Source organism: Homo sapiens, chromosome 15 (assembly GCF_000001405.40).
Source record: "Homo sapiens chromosome 15, GRCh38.p14 Primary Assembly".
NCBI lineage: Eukaryota > Metazoa > Chordata > Mammalia > Primates > Hominidae > Homo > Homo sapiens.
The window spans coordinates 24,662,935-24,684,340 of NC_000015.10; the positions used below are offsets into that span (position 1 = coordinate 24,662,935).

General features: G+C 41.8%; 1 protein-coding gene across 1 annotated transcript; it reads left to right on the top strand.

Moving 5' to 3' along the window:
- On the top strand, positions 12,841-20,459 carry NPAP1 (nuclear pore associated protein 1). Its single transcript, NM_018958.3, has one exon. The coding sequence runs from the start codon at positions 12,934-12,936 to the stop codon at positions 16,402-16,404; it is 3,471 nt and encodes a 1,156-aa protein (NP_061831.2). The 5' UTR covers positions 12,841-12,933; the 3' UTR covers positions 16,405-20,459.

Consider the following 21,406-nt stretch of genomic DNA (forward strand, 5'->3'; position numbering starts at 1 on the left):
GTGTACAACTTAGTTGGGGAAAGGGCATTCAATGTCTAAAGAGAATAAGCCTGATGCAGGTGGTCCAAAGGTCAAACTGATAAACTTTGTTCCAAAACAGATGAGTCTACTTTTTTTCTATTAAAATCCTTAATTGCAGTGCCTAAAATCCTTAACTGCAATGAATATGAGACTTAAAATTAACTATAAGAAACTCTCAGGGGTGTAATCGTCAACTAGTCATCTATGAGTGAGTAAGTGAAGGTGTTGACAGCTCCAAGAGGCCACTCTTCATTACATTCTTTCTTATTTGTGTCATTTTCCAGTATTAGCCACCACTTATGCTGAAATTGATGACATAAAAAAGGGAAAAAGTGAGAAACCCACTTTTCCTTTTAGTCCCTTCCTACTCATCAGTCAGCTGAAGAAAGAAAGTTTGGGTAGAATGTGTGCATATTAAGAAGTGACATAAAAACAGTTGAATTATTTTTGTACAGCATTTCTACTGCGATGTTTAAACAAATGAAAAAAAAAATACATGTGCATATACAAGCTACAAAACAGAAATTGTGAGACTTTTTGGAAATTTTGCATATCAGATAAATGTTCTTATATTTACATGTAAAACTAGCACTCTTGTTATAAAAAGGAATGCTAAAATTAATGCTAATAACTTTACATTATACTTTTTATTTACTTAAAAATATTAAATAGCAAATTTTTAAAAAACTATGAAAGTAGAGAGACTACAGAAAAAAAGAAAAAGCTTCATGTTTTATTTATTTATTTACTTAGTTACTTATTTTTAGAGACAGAGTCTCTCTCTTTCTGTTGTCCAGGTTGGAGTGCAGTGGCACAATCATGGCTTAGTGCAGCCTCAAGCTCCTAGGTTCAAGCAATCCTCCCACCTCAGCCTCCCAAGTAGCTGGGACTCCAGGTGTATGCCACCACATCTGGCTCTTCATTTGTTAGTACTGTACTACTTTCTTAGGGCTTCCATAATAAAATATAGCAGTCCCTCGGTATCTGATGGGAATCGGTTCCAGAACCCCTGTGAATACCAAAGTCCGCAAATGCTCAAGTCCTTTATATAGAATGGCTTAGTATTTACATATAACCCACATACATTCTCCTGTATACTTAAAATCAACTTTAGATTACTTGTAATACCAAATACAATACAAATGCATTGTAAATAGAAGTTACACTGTATTTTTTCATTTGTATTATTTTTCATTGTATTGTTATTTTAGACTTCCAGTTGGTCGAATGCATGGATGTGGAACCTGTAGATATGAAGGACCAACTGTACCACAAACTGTATGGTATAACCAACATAAATTGATTCTTTTACAATTCTGGAGGATAAAAGTCTGAAAATCAATATGTTGGCAGGGTCTTGTTCTCTCCAAAGGCTCTGAGGAAGCATCATTCCTTGCTTCTTTTGGTTTCTGATGGTTGTCAACAACCCTTGGCATTCTTTGACAGCACATCTGCATCACTTCACTCTCTGCCTCCATCATCACATGGCTATCTTCCCTCTCTTTGTATGTTTGTTTCCAAATCTCTTTCTCCTTTTAAGAATAGAAGTCGTTAGTTCTTGCACCCTAACCCAGGACAACTTCATCTTAACTTGATTATATCTAGAAAAAAATACTAACTCTATTTCCAGATAAGGTTACATTCACACATTCCAGGTGAACATTAATTTGCAGAAATGCTATTCAACTCAGTGAAAATGCCTTTAACAGCATTTTTTCCTTATATTTTGAACAAGGCACCCTGAATTTTCATTTTCCCTAGGCTTTACCCATTCTAGCCAGCCCTGATTGTCACCTTGTCATTGATAGAGCCCATGTTGGAAAATATGGTTTAATGAGACAGACAAATGAGTCTGCTAGCTCAACTCCAGAATTATACAGACTTGCCCACTCTGTTGCAGCCAGTTGCTTCTAGACAGGCCCATGGGAAAGAGGCATGCCCATAAAAGACACATGCCTATGTAGCATGGAGGAGCAGAGACTTTTGTCTCTATAGGAAGGCTTACTCCTAAGATGAAGAAAATAAGAGCAGAACAAAGCATGGCCAATTGTTCATTCCAACTTTCTAGTCAGGCCATTTCATCTACCCAGGATTAGAGGTCAAAAAGTATACTAGTCAAACTCCCTTTACAAGGAAGCAACATTAAAAATGAAAATAAAATTTTTAAAACAATCCCCTGCTTTTGACTCTTTTAATTAATTGAACTATGCCTTTAAGCCTGTAGCCAATGAAGTATGGCTATCTCCTTCAGAAAAAACGGATCAGAAGTTTACCAGGATATCACTGCTCTCATTTCATGTAGCTACTCATTTGGGTGCCTCCTTGGACTGCTGGTGAGCAACCTAGATTTAAGTCCCTGAACTCTCTGAAATGGATGAGAAAATGCATTAATTCAATCAAATCCAATGTGAAAATCACACTTCTATTTGCCATCCTAAAATGCAGCTAGCCACAGAAATATGACAGTTATAGGGCATAAACCTTCTAATATGTGGCTGAATTCACTTTGTTCATATTTTGTTGAATTTTGTTTGTTTGTACATCAATCTTCATAAGAGATATTGACCTGTATTTTTTTTCCCATATTATATTTGTCTGGCTTCAGCATCAGGGTAATGCTGGCCTCACAGGATAAGCTAAAAAGTTATTTCCTCCCTCTTCAACTTTTTAGAAGAGTCTGAGAAAGGCTGGCTTTGAGTTACTGTATAGCATCCTTCCATTTCAATCTGAAAGACTGCCTTTACCATTTCTTCTAAAGAAGATCAGTGATAATGAATCCTTTAGCTTTTTCTTGTCTGAAAATGTCTTAGTTTTCTCCTCATCATGGTGGACATTTGTGGTAGGTATAGAATTCTCAGTTGACAGGTTTTTTTTTTCCTTTTAACACTTTAAATATATCATCCTACCAACTCTGGATTCCAAAGTTGCTGTCTGATAAGCTGGTTGATAATCTTACTGACAATGACCTATGCATGAGGAGTTGCTTCTTTGTTGCTGCTTTCAAGAGTCTCTCTTTGTTTTTTGTCTTTCAGCAGTTTGGTAATAATGTGTTTGTGTGTAAGTGTCATTGGCTCTGTCTTGGAGTTCATTGAGCTTACTGGATTTATAGATTAACATCTTTCATCAAATTTGGACGTTTTTAGGCATAATTTCTTTAAATATTCCCTTTGGCCTTTGTTCTCTTTCTTTGCCTTCCTGAACTCTCATAATGCATATAGGTCCCTTTGATGGTGTCCCACATTTACCTTAAGCTCTGTTCACTTACTTCATCCTTTTTTTCTGGACTCCTCAGGAATGGTTTCAGTCAGTTAATTTGGTTCCTTTAATTAGGTCATGTTTTTCTGTTTCTTTATGTGCTTTGTGATATGTCATAGTTGAAAATTGGACATTTGGCTGGGCATGGTGGCTCATGCCTATAATCCCAGCACTTTGGGAGGCCGAGGTGGGCGGATCACCTGAGGTCAGGAGTTCAAGACCAGCCTGGCCCACATGGTGAAACTCTGTCTCTACTAAAAAATACAAAAAGAATTAGTCGGGCTTGGTGGTGGGTGCCTGCAGTCCCAACTACTTGGAGGCTGAGGTGGAGAATTGCTTAAACCCAGGAGGCAGAGCTTGCAGTGAGCCGAGATCGCACCACTGCACTCCAGCCTGGGAGACAGACCGAGAGTCTGTCTCAAAAAAAAAAAAAAAAAAAAAGAAAAAGAAAACTGGACATTTGAAAAATAGACACATCTCCTATTTTTGCAGACTGGCTCTGTGCAGGGCAGTCCTTCGCCCATTAGCTGGACTTCCTCTGAGCCTAGGGACATCCATACATGAAAATTTAAGGTCTTCTTAGGTCTTTTCTGAGTATGCATCTTTCCTGGGCCTGAAAGTGGCCTTCTCAACTCTCCCATATACATGGCTTCCATTGAATGTCTTAATTTTCCAAAAAGTCTGACCCTTGATTCCCCTCTGGGTCTTAGATGGTCTATTGCATATTTCCACCTGTAATCTTTATCCCAGGCATCAGGTCTGTAGTCTCCCTGTAGCTTTGACAAGCAGAAAGCTGACATTTTTTCCACCTGAAATCTGAGTTAGGAGAAATAGAAGTCAATCCTTCAAGCAGCACCCAGAGAGGTTAGAACATTGCAAATAAAATATTCTCTTCTGCAGGTTGGGGTGAGGGGACTGGTAACTGGGCTGTCATCTCTCCCAGGCCAAGACCATGATACACGAGAAGGGAGATGGGAATTTGGGCAAAGCCAAGTGAAAGTAACACAACATTTCTTACCATTTGAAGGTGGCTTTTTCCTGATTCAGAATGTGTTTGTTTGCTAAAAACTTTGACTATTTTCCGGAGTTTCTATAAGGTTAGTAGAGCCAGTTTCTGTTTCCTTCTTTGGTGTTTTTGGCGTTTCCAGAGCTTGGAGCTTCCTAGTCTGACATTTTGTTAATGTCACTCTTGTTGATTAGTCCTTTCATTGAACCTTTTAATGTGTTCTTCACATTCATTGATAATAGGACAAAGACCATTCATTCTTCAATGCCATTATTTTTCACCCACATTCTAAAGACAGTTTCTATGATACCACCAAAAACTTATTGTTAAACGCAACGTAATAACACAGAAAAATCTTGGAGTTTAGAGTTCATCAGGACTTCATTGGAATTCTGGTCCACAATGTATTCGTTTTTGGATCTTGGACAACCATCTTAAGCTCTGCAAGTCTTAGGGTAGTGAGTTTATCCCATTACCTTCACCTGTAATATAATCACATTACAATTTTGATTTAAACTCAAGCTTAGACCAAAAGCTAGGTTTTCTGTGACTTCTCCCCTGATTAACTCACAAGCCATCTCTCCCTTATTCAAATGGCTTATCTTATGAAAATCCCATAAGCGCTTTTATGCCTCCTTTGAATTAGTATAGTATTTCTTGTTTGTATCACTTATATGTCAGTTGCCACTTTGTAACTAGAAATAATTTCTTCTATTTGTTCATGTCTTGGCACTTTCTTAAGAATGTGTTCCTCTGGAAGAAAAGTCATGTCTATCTGCTAATTAATCTATTGTATATTTATTGACTGTTTCCTAGACATTGTGTTAGGTTCTGTTTATAGATGATAGTGAAATATAATTCCTCCTCAGAAAGTCACAGTCTTTTTGGGAAAATAGATAAATCAAGCAGCCTATGTATCAAATAGTTTTGCATTTCCCACAGATAAAGTGATTAATAGGTACAATAAATTCATGTATCATAAGTAAATATATAAATGCTTATTTGGTATTAAAATCCAGTTAACCACTTTTCTATTTTGAAATAGAAATTTTCTATTTTCTCCTTGGTTTGCTCCTTGCCATCTGGTATAAACTTCAGATAGCAAGAAGCAAACCTCAAGAGGTTCAGAACTTTAGTTCTGAGAAGTATCTAGAAGTTCAGGTGATTACTTGGCATTTATACAACTTGCTTTACATGAAAATACAGCTGTAAATCTCACAAGGTTAGGTGATCTTTTAAGAATTTCAATATGTTCTGCTATTTGTTGGAAGACCTGTAAGAATAGCCCACCTTTAAAATGCAATTTAATATACAACAGGCTATGTGTTAGCTAAATGAGCTCAAGAAATGAAGGAAATATGTTTTAGTTCCATCTATTTTGGACCCCCAGTCGAACCATCCACTTCTGCTCTATCTCTGCCATTTTATCTTCTATAAAATGGAGGAAGCTCTAAAGACATAGTTAAAGAGATGCTACACAGCTTCATATGTAATTGTCTTTATTTGTTTTAGAATACCAATGACATATAAACAACTACTACAATACCAATGACATAAAAACGACTACTACGAAGAATCAAGTATTTTTTGAGTCAAGTAGGACTCTGTCAAAACAAAGAGAAGTAAAGGGACCCCAAAATGACTATGACTTTCTCAAGGGGACACAATTATTTTTTGATAGATCTGGAACAAGAACCTAGATATCCTCAATCCCACTTTATTGTTCTTTCATTGGGTTCTGAACACAGATAAATAAACAGAAAATAAAATTCTTGTCTTCTACATAACTGGTGCAGGTCCTGGCAAGATTGAAATTGGAATACTGAGTATTAAGAAGTAATTGAAAAATTGTGAAAGCTAAATGATACATACCAGGTACATAGGAATGTGTAGCACCTGAAGATGATTCTATAGGTGAGCAGAACTGGTAATTCAATGTGTGTGTGTACTGTAGTTTACAACAGGATAGTTAAATTTCATTTTCTGATACCTTGAAGGCTCCTCCCAAACATACAACACTAAATAAATATTTAAACTAGATCACATTTAGTTCTGCATGCTTATATACATCAATAAATAATTTGTTTTAGTTACCTTGATTTTTAATTTATACTTGGTTATTTCCAAACACAAAACAGAGGCTGGACATAGGTATATGGGAGGCTGCAGAGATAAAATAAGCTCACTTTATTCACTGCCAAAAGTAAGATCCTAACAACCTCTACATACCTGAATGTGTTCAGACCAACTATCTTCATTTTACAGGCAAGCCTTCTGGAAAAATCAAGCTGAAGAAATCTTAATTGCCCAATGTCCCTTATCTGTTTCAATAAGTATAATTATATAATATCAGAATTCTTCTGAGTGACAGAGAAAGGCAGCCTGGCTGAACATCCCCATGGCCATAATGCAGATATGATGGTCTCCAGCTATTTTAGAAAGACTGGAGCCTACTATTCCCATTACTTATCTTAATAGAGAATAACATTTAATATTCTCTATGTTTTGTGCTGGATAAATCTTTTTCCCTTTATTAAAATGAATGACCCATAACTGAGTCTGTAGTTTGTACATTGTTGGAAGCTGAATAAATCTCTGTGGGTTACCAGAATCTTATTAATAAGTCACAGCTTTCTAGGGAGGATCTGCTCAAAAACTCAAAGTTTAGTTTTACATTTATAACTAAATTATGATACAACCTTGAGCAAGTTAAGCTCATCTGTAAATGAAGAATACTGATACTTGCTACTTCAAAGGGCTCTTGTAAAGCGTTCAATAAATTAATAGAGGTGTATACACATGCATATATTTTAATACTTACACATACTTTAAAAGAACCCTACATAATCCACTACAAAAATTTTGTGATGTGTCTCCCTAAACTAGTTCCCAACTACCCTGTTAAAATTATTTAAATGAACAAAAATCTATATATTAAGATACACATCAGAGAACTCCAAATACTGCTTCTCACAGTACCCTGTCCCAGCCATGCTGCCTTCCTCTTCACACAAATCTTCAATTCAGAAACCCTAGGGATTAATTCACTAATCAACCCACACCTTAATTCATTCAAGAAAATTATTGATACCCTACTAAATGTCAGGTACTGGTTTACAGGTATATTCAAGGAATATTAGCGAAAAAGAAAAAGTAAATATTCCTACCTTCTATTTGGGTGGGGGGGAGTAAACAAATGAATATGCAAATACATAAACATAAGTGTACACATGTAAATTAAATTTAAATAAATAGGTAAAATAAACAGTATATCAGATATGTCCTAGAAAGAAATATAATGCAGGGAAGGGAGTTGAAGAGTGTCAGTTGGTGTGGGGGTTGCAATGTGAAATTATGTGGAAGGTGAAATTTAAGAAGAAACATAATGGGATCCTAGGAAACAATGATGTGTATGTCTGGAAAATGAGTGTTAGAAAAGAAATGGTAAAGAAAACAGTCAGATGGGACAGCCATGGGCAAAAGTGTTCATATAGTATTCAGGTAACAGAAAGGATGATGTCACTGTGTAGGGGAAAGAGGGATCAGAGTGGAAAGAAGGAAATGAAGTCAGAAAGGAAATGGAGAGCTCAGATTGCTAGGGTTTTGGAAGCATTTTGAGTACTTTGGCTTTTGCTTTGAGTAAGCCATTGAAGAGGCTTGGGTGATATTATCTGACTTACGTTTCAACAGGATCTCTCTTGGAGATCATTTTGATTAGAGACTGTAGGAAATTAAGGACAAGATTGGGGAGACCAGGCTGGGCACGTTGGCTCACACCTGTAATCCCAGCACTTTGGGAGCCCAAGGTGGGTGGATCATTGAGGTCAGGAGTTGGAACCAGCCTGGCCAAGATGGTGAAGCCCCATCTCTACTAAAAATACAAAAATTAGCTGGGCATGGTGGCAGGTGCCTGTAATCCCAGCTACTCAGGAGGCTGAGGCAGGAGAATCGAATCCAGGAGGCGAAGGTTGCAGTAAGCCGAGATCGCGCCACTGCACTCTAGCCTGGATGACAGAGCAAGACTCCATCTCAAAAAAGAAAAAAAAAAAAAAAGATTGGTTGATTCAAACAAGCGATTTACTCAAAGATGTGCCTTCTACTCAGTAAAGACATAGATCAGGGGTTAGCCAAAAATGACCCACAGATCATTTTGTATGTCCTGTGAGCGAATAATGATGATTACATTTTAAAAGTGTTCCTGAAGAATAAAAGGGAGGAGGTAAAAGAGGAGGAGGAAGAGGAGCTAAAGAAACTGCATTTGGCCCACAAAGACTTAAATATTTAAAACCTAGAAAATGTTTGCCAAAACCTGAAATAAAGCATCTGACTTTTCTTGAGGAAGTAGGTCCTCAATAAAATTGGAAAGAGGAATACATGAGTAAATTAGTTGCTGAAAATATTGTGAAGTAATAGATATCGAGAAATATCTATGGCTTCATCCCCACCCTCAAAAACAATGCCATTCATTTCCATTGAGCTAATGAAAAATGCAGTTTGGTTTTCAAAACAGTTAACCAAAAAACACGGTCTTACATAAAAAAAATCATAAAATTTATATAGCAACAAAAAAGCATTTTCACAGAAATTAAAATTTTACAAAGCATTTCTATATCGATTATGTAATTTAATCTTCCAATCAACTCCATGGGATAGGTACTATTTCCCCATACAGAAATTACCATATCCTAAATCCTTAGTGATTGATTCCTCAAGAAAAATTAAAGTCTTGAATGCTACATCTGTTAATACTAAGGGTAGTTTTCTCCTATGGGAAGGTTGGCTTCTAGAATGAACAGGAACTTTCAGTTCAAGGTGACAGACCAGGAACACATATTTACTTTGTGTTCCTCCTGAAATTGTACTTAAATAAAAGTATACAAATACCAAAATGTAGTAGACCAACGAAAGCCAAGAGATTGTGGAAGTCATCAACCACAGAAAGGTGTTGATACATTTCTGAAAAGCAAAAAGTTAACTGGAGAGGAAATAGATGAAACAACCAAGGAAAGGCTACTCTAAGAAGTAGCAGCACAAAGTCTGTCTGTCCTTGCTGAGCCCTGGTTACAGTAAAGGGCGGAAGAGTGTGGACAAATGTGAATCTGAAAGAGCCAATTCTTCTAAATCAATCCTGTGTGGCTAACTGGGCGTAAATTTAAAATACAGCCCAGCAGCCATTTGCTGACTAGAGTTTATACCTGCACTGGCCAATTGGAACTAAGCCAATGTCTTTCTTTCTCTTTTTCTTTTTTTTTTTTTTTTTTTTTTTTTTTGAGACAGAGTCTCACTCTGTCACCCAGGCTGGAGTGCATTGGCATGATCTTGGCTCACTGCAACCTCTGCCGCCTCACCCAGTGAAGTAGCTGGGATTACAGGTGTGCACCACCACACCCAGCCAATTTATTTATTTATTTATTTATTTTTGTAGTTTTAGTAGAGACAGGGTTTCACTGTGTTGCCCCGGCTGGTCTCAAACTCCTGATCTCAAGTGATCCATTCACCTGGGCTTCCCAAACTGCTGGGATTACAGATGTGAGCCACCACAGTGGGCCAGAACTAAGCCAGTTTCAAACCTTCATTTGCCTAAAGAAACTTATGTGGGAACCTGGACAGCGAACTTTTGCTATAAAACCCAAGTCTTCCCTTTGTTTTCTGGAATGCACCTTTGTTTTGCAACAGAGGATGCAAACAGTTCACTGGAATAAAGTCTCTTTCCTCCACATTCCTTTTTCAGATAACTTTTCTTCACGAGAGAGGAGACTGAAATTATTTTAGGGAAAAAAGTTCATTTAATGAGGTTCATGAGTCAATAAAGTCCAAAGGATTCAGTGTGTCCTCACATTAACTCTGTATGACTTACAGTGGGTTGTTGGTGAAAGTGTTCAACTATAGGGTGCTAGGTATGGTTTATTGTCACTACCACAATTCTATACAAAGCTAGCCACCCAGAGATTCATTTGATATGACTGGAGATTGGTGCTTTAAAAAATTATTAAATTACAAGTAATCTCACCTGGCAACTATAAATTGTTGCTATTATCACAGTATTTATATAATTATTAAATTAAATTTTTGGAAAATATTTTGCCTTGACAAATTTCATCTCAACATGTTTGCGTCTGCCAAGTCAAAAGATCTCAGAATAATCAGTTGCCATCTAATGTTATTTTGCCTCACAAACACAAGGAAGATTTTATATTCAAAAAAAGCATCTATTCCCATTTGACAAGAAAAATAAAGAGGTGGATTTTTCTGGAATACCCTTGTCCAAATTTCCTTTTATTGTCCTGAAGCCCCAATATTCATTATTTGTTTAATGCATTTTTCCTGTTTGGGGGAAAATGCTGTAATTTATTGTTTTCAAATAAGCCTGACATTTGATTTTGTTTCAGAGTTCTTGTAGGAAATCTTTGTCCAAAACTTGTACCAGATTGTTCTTTTTGTTTAAACAAATAAAATCAAGAGATTATTTTTTATTAAACTCTCCTCAAATGATATCAAGAGATTACAGTTAAATGCCATAATTGTAAACAATTTCTCGGTTCCCTGAGAGGTTAGGAAGGACTTATAATATGTCTCCTCTTTTTAAACAGAATTTGGGTCTGAGCAAAACTTTGTGTCCTAGAAACATAAGCTTTGTTGGGTATGGAAGCCCACATTTACTCTGACATAGTATAAAATATATGAACAGGGGGATAAAAAGGATTTTGTAGTATGTTAACTAGGTTTGATGTTATTTTAAATCGATTTTTAAACTAAAAAATACATTAAAATATTTTTACTGATCTCTGATTCTTGGTTCTGAACCTTCCACATGTCCTATGTCTGGCACACAACATTAGCCCAAAGAGAGCAAAGCAGTCCAGTTAAATAAACCAAAGAAACAAGATTAAAACTAGATAAGGTCATGTGTAGGATTTTCCAAATCTTTCTTGTCATGCTGAAACTTCCAGCTCTTAAAACAGTAACACATATTTCCTTTGTCCTAAAAACCAATATTAAGTCTCCTTCCTTGGGCATAAGAATATGGATAGTTATACTTAGGTGACAGTAATGTGTGGTAAAGAGTGGGCCTTGCTGGCATGCGGACAATGACCAAATTGTATTGATCATATTTTAATCGAATACATTGCTCCACTACTGACTTGCAAATACATGATGAATTTGCTTTCTAACATATTCCAAGAAGGCCAGAGAACTGGCTTATCCATTTGGATTAATCCACTGGTGAATTTCTTTCGGGATAGGCCAAAATGGATCTGGACTATAATCTTTACATATTTAGATCCTTCAAACTAGACCAAAAAGGAAATCTGGGCTGCAAGGCTCAATTAGAAGAACAGTGTGGGATGCTGCTTTGCTGACTATTGGGGGTCGCTGCCCCATGTCTTCAGAGGAGACTGGAGCCCAGTGCCTGCCATGACCAACTTATGAGGTGAAGTAAGGGCTTCCCCCTAGGAACGCATGTGCTTAATACAGATGTGCTGTGTGCTAGGTACCCTAAGGACTACAGGAAATAATGAGAATACATGATGTGTCCATAACAAGGAGGCACACAGGCCACGGCACCAGCTCTGGAATCACACAGCCCAGGTTCGAAGCCTGGCTAGGCCACTGTCATATCAATGACCCAAGGAGCAAGCAGCCTAAGGCTTAAATGTTGTTGCTGTTGTTTGTTGTGGTTTTTTGTTTTTGTTTTTGTTTGAGACAAGAGTTTTGCTCTGTTCCCCCAGGCTGGAGTGCAGTGAGGTGATCTCAGCTCACTGCAACCTCCACCTCCCGCTTTCAAGCGATTCTCCTGCCTCAGCCTCCCTAGTAGCTGGGATTACAAGTGCGTGCCACCACGCTCAGTTAATTTTTGTATTTTTAGTAGAGATGGGGTTTCACCATGGTGGTCAGGCTGGTCTCGAACTCCTGACCTCAGGTGATCCACCCGCCTTGGCCTCCCAAAGTGCTGGGATTAAAGGCGTGAGCCACCGCGCCCAGCCTTAAATGTTGTTTAAAACAAATTTGTGAAAAGAAGTGAAGAGGCCCTGCCTGCCAGGAAGAGATGTGGTAGGGCGTAGCATCTAGTCAGGACAAGGCACCACGTCCCCTCCTCGGAAACCCTCACGGCCTGGCTGGTGACCCTGGCGCCACAGAGACGGCACACCTGGCTCCAGGCAGCACAGAGCACTGCCAAGGTCCTAGAGGAGGCTGGCAGGATATAGGTTGTCCTGTGCTTAACTTGAAGCAGATGTGCCCTCTGTGAACCGGGGAATGGGGACGGCCGACACAGGGCCACTGCGTGCAACAGCGCCGGGCCAGGGCTAAGGAACAGGCAGAGCCGGCGCCCAGGTGACAAGAGCTCTGGCGATGGGCCCGCAGGCCCCAGCAGTTCCCTCATAGAGGCCACGCGGTGCAACACCTGCCACCGGCAGCGGGGCTTCCGGGGGTCCTGGGGCAGCTGGGGCCGACGGGGCGTCGCCCTTTGCCCTCTGACCCCTGCCTTTTGCGCCCCCGCTGGCGCTCCCTGGTTCTGTGAGGAACCTCGCGGCGGCGTCGCAGGCGTAGAGCCAGTCAGTTTGTGCTTGGTCGCCAGAGGAGGCGGTGGCTGAGGAGAGTTGAGTCCACTGCTGACCCTGTTTTACGGTAGGAGGCACGGCTAGCTCTAAATGGGCAATTTACTTAGTAAATTTAGACCCGGGTGCCGCCGCCGGCCCCTGCCAGGGCCAGGGCGTGGCGCCCCCGCTCCCCTGTCCCGGGACGCCTCCCCGCCCGGTCGGGCTCACTCTGTACCCACCCCGCGCCCTTTCCGCGGCCTGTTCCGCCGGAACGCCCGTCGCAGGCCTTCAGCAGCCAGCATCTTCGTCGCCCCTAAGAGGCCGTGTCCTCTCCCTCGGGCTGCGGCCGCCCCTCTGGGGGTCCTGCCGGCTGTGGGTTGGGGGCTGGCCATCAGGAAGACACCCATGCTGCCTGCTCGGAACCCCCCGAGGTTTGGACACCCCAGTTCCGTAAGGATCCCTCCTCCCAGCCGCATGTTCACTCTCCTGCTGCCTTCACCACGTGAGCCGGCGGTCAAGGCCAGGAAGCCCATCCCAGCCACTCTCCTGGAGGAGACCGAGGTGTGGGCCCAAGAAGGGCCCAGAAGAGTGAAGAAGGATGAGGATCCGGTGCAGATCGAAGGGGAGGATGACGAGAAAAGGACCCCCCTTAGCAGCGGAGAAGCATCGTCCACATCCAGGTCCCAGGGCACCCAGGGAGACGTGGCCTCCTTCAGATGCAGCCCTGGGCCTCTGGAGGGAAATGTCTACCACAAGTTCTCAGAAAACAGCATGAGTGAGAAGGCCCAGGCGTCTCCAGCGAGCTCCTGCTTGGAAGGCCCTGCCATGCCCAGCACACACAGCCAGGCCGGATGTGCCCGGCATCTTGGAAAGCCTGATCCGGATGCAACAGCGCCCCCTGAGCCAGCCGTTGGCTGCTCCCTGCTGCAGCAGAAGTTGGCTGCGGAAGTGCTGAATGAAGAGCCACCGCCCAGCTCCCTAGGCTTGCCGATTCCGCTGATGTCCGGAAAGAGGATGCCTGATGAGAAGCCTTTCTGTATTCCTCCAAGGAGCGCTGCTCCTCCCAGAGCTGCCCGCAACAGGCCCTGCAAAAGGAAAATGTCGATTCCATTGCTGCTGCCGCTGCCCCCTTCACTGCCATTGCTGTGGGATCGAGGTGAGCTTCCCCCACCTGCTAAGCTCCCCTGCCTGTCTGTTGAGGGAGACCTACACACCTTGGAGAAGAGCCCTGAGTATAAAAGGAATAGCAGAATCTTGGAGGATAAAACAGAGACCATGACAAACAGCAGCATCACCCAGCCTGCCCCTTCTTTCTCCCAACCTGTGCAGACCACAGACTCCCTGCCCCTGACCACTTACACTTCCCAGGTCTCAGCTCCTTTGCCCATCCCTGACTTGGCTGACCTGGCTACTGGACCCCTCATCCTGCCTATCCCTCCACTTTCCACCACACCAAAAATGGATGAGAAAATAGCATTCACAATCCCTAACTCTCCTCTGGCTCTTCCTGCTGACCTTGTTCCCATTTTGGGTGATCAGTCTAATGAGAAAGGAGGCTCTTATAATTCAGTCGTAGGAGCAGCGCCTCTCACTTCTGACCCCCCAACACCTCCTAGCTCCACACCCTCCTTCAAGCCTCCCGTCACAAGGGAGTCCCCAATATCTATGTGTGTGGATTCCCCTCCTCCTCTTTCCTTCCTGACTCTTCTTCCAGTCCCTTCCACCGGGACCTCAGTTATCACCAGCAAGCCTATGAATTCCACGTCAGTCATTTCCACTGTCACAACAAACGCATCTGCCCACCTAACCTCACAGACTGCGGTAGACCCTGAAGTAGTTAATATGGATACTACTGCCCCATCTCAGGTTGTTATTTTCACATCTTCCCTAAGCTCCAGAGTGAGCTCTCTCCCAAATTCCCAAATACATTGCAGTGCAGAGCAGAGGCACCCGGGAAAGACATCAGTCTACACATCCCCACTTCCATTTATATTCCACAATACCACCCCAAGTTTTAACCAACTCTTTGGAAAAGAAGCCACCCCTCAGCCCAAATTTGAGGCTCCTGATGGGCAGCCGCAGAAAGCTTCTCTCCCCAGTGCCTGTGTTTTCCTGAGCCTTCCCATCATTCCTCCTCCAGACACCTCCACTTTAGTGAACAGTGCCTCTACAGCATCATCATCCAAACCTCCCATTGAAACCAATGCTATGCATACCACTCCTCCTTCCAAGGCTGTCATCTTGCAGTCTGCCTCTGTCTCCAAGAAGTACCTCCCATTTTACCTGGGGCTTCCTGGTTCTGGGAACACACAACCCAGCGGCAACACTGCCTCAGTCCAAGGCTCCACCAGTTTGCCTGCACAGTCAGTCAGGGCACCAGCTACAGCTTCCAACCATCCTTTAAATCCAGGAGCCACCCCTCAACCCAAATTTGGGGCCCCTGATGGGCCGCAGCAGAAAACCTCTCTCCCCAGTGCCCATGATTTCCTGAGCCTTCCTATCATGGTTCCTCCAGACACCTCCACTTTAGTGAGCAGTGCCTCTGCAGCATCGTTATCCAAGCCTGCCATTGACACCAGTGACATGAATACCACCCCTCCTTCCAAAACTGTCATCTTGCAGTCTACCTTTGTCTCCAGGAAGGAGGAGTACATCCGATTTTATATGGGGCTTCCTGGTTCTGGGAACACACTACACAGTGACAGCATTGCCTCAGCCCAAGTCTCCACCAGTTTTCCTGCACAGGCAGATAGGAGACCAACCACAACTTCCAGCCATCCTTTAAATACAGGATCCATCTCTCATTCCACACTTGGGGCCACTGATGGGCAGCAGAAGTCTGACAGTTCTTTTATTCTGGGGAATCCAGCAACCCCAGCACCAGTTATAGGCTTAACATCTCCTTCAGTCCAGCCACTGAGTGGCAGCATAATTCCACCAGGTTTTGCAGAGTTAACATCACCATATACTGCATTGGGCACACCTGTTAATGCTGAGCCAGTCGAGGGTCACAATGCAAGTGCTTTCCCCAATGGCACAGCAAAGACTTCTGGATTTAGAATTGCCACTGGGATGCCTGGCACTGGAGACAGTACCTTACTGGTTGGAAATACTATTCCAGGCCCACAAGTGATTATGGGACCTGGAACCCCTATGGATGGTGGGAGCATTGGGTTCAGCATGTCTGCCCCAGGCCCCAGTTCCACATCAGGAGAACTCAACATTGGACAAGGACAGAGTGGGACACCCAGCACCACTTCTGTTTTCCCATTTGGTCAGGCAGCCTGGGACCCAACTGGCCACAGCATGGCTGCTGCACCACAAGGGGCTAGCAACATTCCTGTATTTGGATATACTTCTGCTGCCGCCTACATTCCTGGTTTAGACCCACCTACCCAGAATTCATGCAGTGGTATGGGAGGGGATGGCACCAGATCCATAGTTGGAGGCCCTTGTGTTCCTGCTTTTCAACAGTGCATCCTGCAGCACACATGGACAGAGAGAAAATTCTACACTTCAAGCACCCACTACTATGGACAAGAAACATATGTTAGGAGACATGTCTGTTTCCAACTTCCGTAAGAGCACCTGTGGTTCACCTGATCACACCACATCAGTTGTGGTTGTAAATACCAGCATTATCCTTTTGTATGGTCATGCTTCTAGTTTCATCTTCATGCCAAGCACCTGCCATGTACCTCTCCAGAACTCAGGTTGTGCACCAGGAGGGGACAACAACATCCCTGTGCTCCCTTTCTCTGTCAGTACACATGGGTCCCACCTGGACAAAACACAGGTGGTGCATCTGCAGTGAATGGCAACATATCTTTAATTAGAGGCCCTTGTGTATCCACCTACCAACAAAGTACCTAGGGCCCACCTGGACAAAACACAGATGGTACCTCTTCCAGGAGTGTCAACATTCATTTGATAGAAGGCCCTCATGTGCCCATGTATCAGCAAAGCACCTGGGGCCCACCTGGACAAAGCACAAACCATGCAATGAGGGACAGCAACACAACGGCTGTGACTGGTTGTACTTTTGGTCCCCCATTTACACAAAGCACCTGAGGCCCACCTGGCTAAATGCAGGTGGTGCAATAGGAGATAGCCCCAGATATTTGTAGGGAGAAACCTCTAGTCTCCCTTTCAGTAAAAATACTATGGACCTGCCCAACCAAGGTGCTCCTTTTGACTTTAGAGGAACCAGCATTGTTTTTGTTTTGGTTTGTTTGTTTGTTTGTTTGTTTGTTTGTTTGTTTTTGAGACGGAGCCTTAGCCCAGGCTGGAGTGTAGTAGCACAATCTCGGCTCACTGCAACCTCCACCTCCTGGGTTCAAGCAATTCTCCTGTCTTAGCCTCCTGAGTAGCTGGGACTACAGGCATATGCCACCACACCTGGCTATTTTTTATAATTTTAGCAGAGACAGAGTTCCACCTTATTGGCCAGGCTGGTCTCAAACTCCTGACCTCAGGTGATCCACCCACCTCGGCCTCCCAAAGTGCTAGGATGACAGGTGTGAGCCACCATGCCCAGCCTAGAGGAGCCAGCATTGTTAGTTAAATACTTGTGTTTGGATGGTCCTGGTCAGAGCACCTGTGCCTGTGATGGAAAGCAGCCACTAGTGACACTTGTACCTGCCAAGGCCTTCATAGGAGCCACCAACTCATTTTTTACTCCTATCAATGGTCTTAAGAAATAAGCACTCTCCCTGCACATACAGTTCTCATAAATTGACATTGTTCCAGGAGGAATGGGCTCAGTTCCCTCAAGGTTAAACTTAACCTGCTCTCTTCCTACAGAAGCTGGAGGCCCAAAACCACAGACAGAGAGAGAGAGAGTGTGTGTGTTTGTGTGTGTGTGTGTGTGTTTATTGGTGAGTGTGGAGCAGATGAGCCCAGTCAGAACCGCACTGTATTTTAGTGGTCTTCTGCACTGTGGAGGGTAGAGGAAACCTGGCTTGACTGTTAACTTGGCTGACCCTACCTCTGGGCCAGTTCTCTCTAGTCATGGACAGAAAGGCAAAATTCCCGACTTTGTGGACCCTATATTCTAGTTGAAGGGGAGAAAAGAAGCAAAAACATGGAAATTATCTGGTAAATTAGCCAGTAACGAATGCTATGAAAAATAAAGAAGTACATGGAGGATTGAGATTGTAGATAGAAGCAGGTGTTTCAGTTTACACTGTGAACAAGCCTCACTGGGAAGGTAAATTTAAACGAAGCCTAGAGAGAAGCAGTTGAGCCAGATATATGAGCAAAGACCTTTCCAGATAATAGGAGTGGTCATTGCAGAGGCTCAAAGGAAGGATCCCTGGTGTCCTCATGGAGCAGTTAGTAAGGAAATGTGGCTGGAATGGAGTCAGCAAGTGGGAGGGAGGGATAGAGAAGAGGACAGAGGAGAGATGTGAGTGGAATTCCTTCCTCCACTTTTTACTAATTGTGTAATAACAGTTGACTCAAACTTCAAAAGTCTCAATGAAATCAGTACTTTTACTATGGCCTGTTTATCTCATAAGATTTTTGAAAGGATAAAATGAAATAATATGGAGAAATGACTTATAAGCTTTTGTTGTAATTTGTTATATACATAGGGATGGATAGACGGATGGATAGATTAGATGATAGATAGATAGATAGATAGATGATAACGTTATGGACTGAATGTTTGTGTACCCCCAAAAATTGATATTTTGAAGCCTAACTTCCAGTGTGATGGTATTAGGAGGTGAGGCTTTGGGGAGGTGATTAGGTTTAGATGAAGTCATGAAAATGAAACCCCCATGATGGGATTTGCGCCTTTATGAGAAGAAATACCAGTGCTTTCTCTAATTGCCATGTGAAGGTATACCAACAAGGTAACAGTCTGTAAGCCAGGAAAAGAGTCCTCACAAGAAACAGAATTTGTCTTTATCTTGGACTTCCTAACCTTTAGAATTGTAGAAAATAATTGAATGTTGTTTAAGCTACCAGTCTGTGGCATTTTTTGTAGCAATCAGAACTGACTAATAAAGATAGATAGATGATAGATAGATACATAGATAGATGATAGAGATAGATGATAGATAGATAGATAGATAGATAGATAATATACATATATATGTATGGTCAATGACTGAGTTCCTTAGGCAATGGTGCCCTGATTGCCTTTATTAGGCAATTCAAATAGAAGAATAGAAGAACCCCCTTTTTTTTTTGAGATGGAGTCTTGCTCTGTCACCCAGGCTGGAGTGCAGTGGCGTGATCTTGGCTCACTGCACGCTCCACCTCTCGGAAGAACCCCTTTTTATTAGCATAAAAGCACTTACTTTTATGAAGCAAACACATGTAAAAATATGATAACAGAGACTAAAACATTTATGAGATTAGGCCTGAAAGAAAACAATCACAGAGAAATTACTGAATTCCTCTTGGCACCCTGGGGCCTGATTCATTCGCTCTAAATTGTTTAGTACAGTTCCAGAGGATCAAAGCTCCTGTTTCCTGGCCAGATAATCACCTAACTTTTGTAATCAGAACTGCCTTTCAGAAGTAGAGTGGAAATCCAGTTTTCTTCTAATAGCCCTATACCCTTGCAGTATTACCAGGGACAAATTTTTTAAAATTCATACTTCTTGACATTTTTTAAAAGGCTTCAAGCTAAATATTATGATCCTGGTAAGACAAACTTTGAATAAATGTGTGAGAGATACAAAGATAATTTTTGTTTTCATGTTTTGATGCACTTACACAACTGAAACTATTTCTAAATATTCTTTTATTTTTTATTAAGATAAAAAGCAAACATAATATCAATTTAAATAATACTGAAAGTCAACCTTCCTACCACAGTTCCCTCCTCCAGAGATAGTGTTTAGCTACTTTGATGTCACTCCCATAGTTCTGAGTTTGCTTTTTTACTTCAACTATTATGTTATCTTACAGATGTCATTGTTTTTCCTAAAACTTGAAGTGCCTTCCTTTTTTTCTCCTTGAACTCTTTTCCCATAAAAAAAAAATGTTTTTGGTTTCTAGAATTTTCAAATAGTATTGTTTACTTGACTGAATCCCTTCCTTTTCCAGAAACCTTGAGCCTCCTCCACTGGTTTGGGAGTGGTAAGACCAAAGTAAATGTAAAAAGTAAAGTAGAGGTTCCTCTTCAAAGACTTTCCTCCCTATCTAATTAGAAATAAGTAGTAACTTCTTTTAGAAGCAAAATGTATTCACAGACCTGTACTAACATTCTTAAATATCTGCTAGTCATAATAAAGAAATCAATGTACTTTATGTTCTTAGCTCCCACAATTTAGCCTAAGTATTTGCCCTGGCATGCTTATACTGGTCCAAGCATTAGGTCATAGCCTGTTCCTCTTCCTTATTTAGAAGTGTTTTTACCTTTCTCAGCATTCCACAAGTTACTTCCTCATTCCTTTGTTCTCCTCTACCTTTGCCTCTTTTAAAAGTTCTAAATTGCTAGCCAATCGGGACAAATACAGAATGTGAGGTCCTGTTCCAGCCAATGGAAACCGGACACAGCAGTAGGGTGGACGCGTCAGGTTATAAATGACCCTGTCTCCTTTGTTCGGTGTACTCTTGTGGCAAAACTGCTGGCAAGTGTACCCTTTCTGCAGGAAGTAAAAATGGCCTTACTAAATAAATTTATGTTCAAGTGCTATTTCTTTACGACACCGAGGAACAAGCATTTCAAACATAAGGACATGGTCTCAGAAGAAAGAGGCCTAAAGGAGCCACCCAAACTGCTTTTAGTTTAGCCCAGAAATGCTCACTAATCAATAATTTTTAAAAAATGTCTAATTCTGGCTGCATCATCCTAATTTCCTGAATCTATGGTAGAGCCAGGAATCTGGATTCCAGGCAGCACTCTAGGGAGGTATGATGCAGACAGTCCATGTTTCCTATTATTCCAAACACTGCTTCACACCTTACATGAGAGCTCACCAAAGTCCTCATTCATCTCATAAGATAAAAAAATTTGTATAGGATGTGGTTCCAAAGCCCTAATTAGTAATAAGCAGAGTGTTTTCCTTACATCTGTGTCTCATGAACTAGAAAATGGCCTGCGGAAAATTTGAGAATTTCCAACTCATGGATGCATGTCTTTCTTGCTCTAAATATCTTCATGTTAGAGGTCTAGAAACTGCCCCCAACTGTGAGAACACTGTCCAGGGCCCCCTTAACCAGTCACTGCTGTGATCCCAGGGTTATGTGATGCAATGAGGGCTTCCCAAACAGCAATTCATTCTTTACCTGAGGCAGAGCTGGGAATGGCTCTCTCAGAAGTCCCAGGACAGGAATATCATCATCAGATGTGCCTTCCAGATAGGAAAATTGAGGCTCATAAAATCAAATATTTGCTAAGTTTTACAGCCATGATCTAGATCCTGGATTTATCCAATGCATGAAATGGGGCATGGGAGGGACTAGAAAAAAAGAAGCCAAACAAAATCTCTGCTAAAAAAATTATCTGTCTTAGGTAAATAGTACCTTTGCTTTAAATGCATACTAAGCTGTGAATGACTGATATCAGAGACTTTCTTGGAAGTAGGTTTCATAGGATGGAGGACAAATGAAACTTTATGGGCGA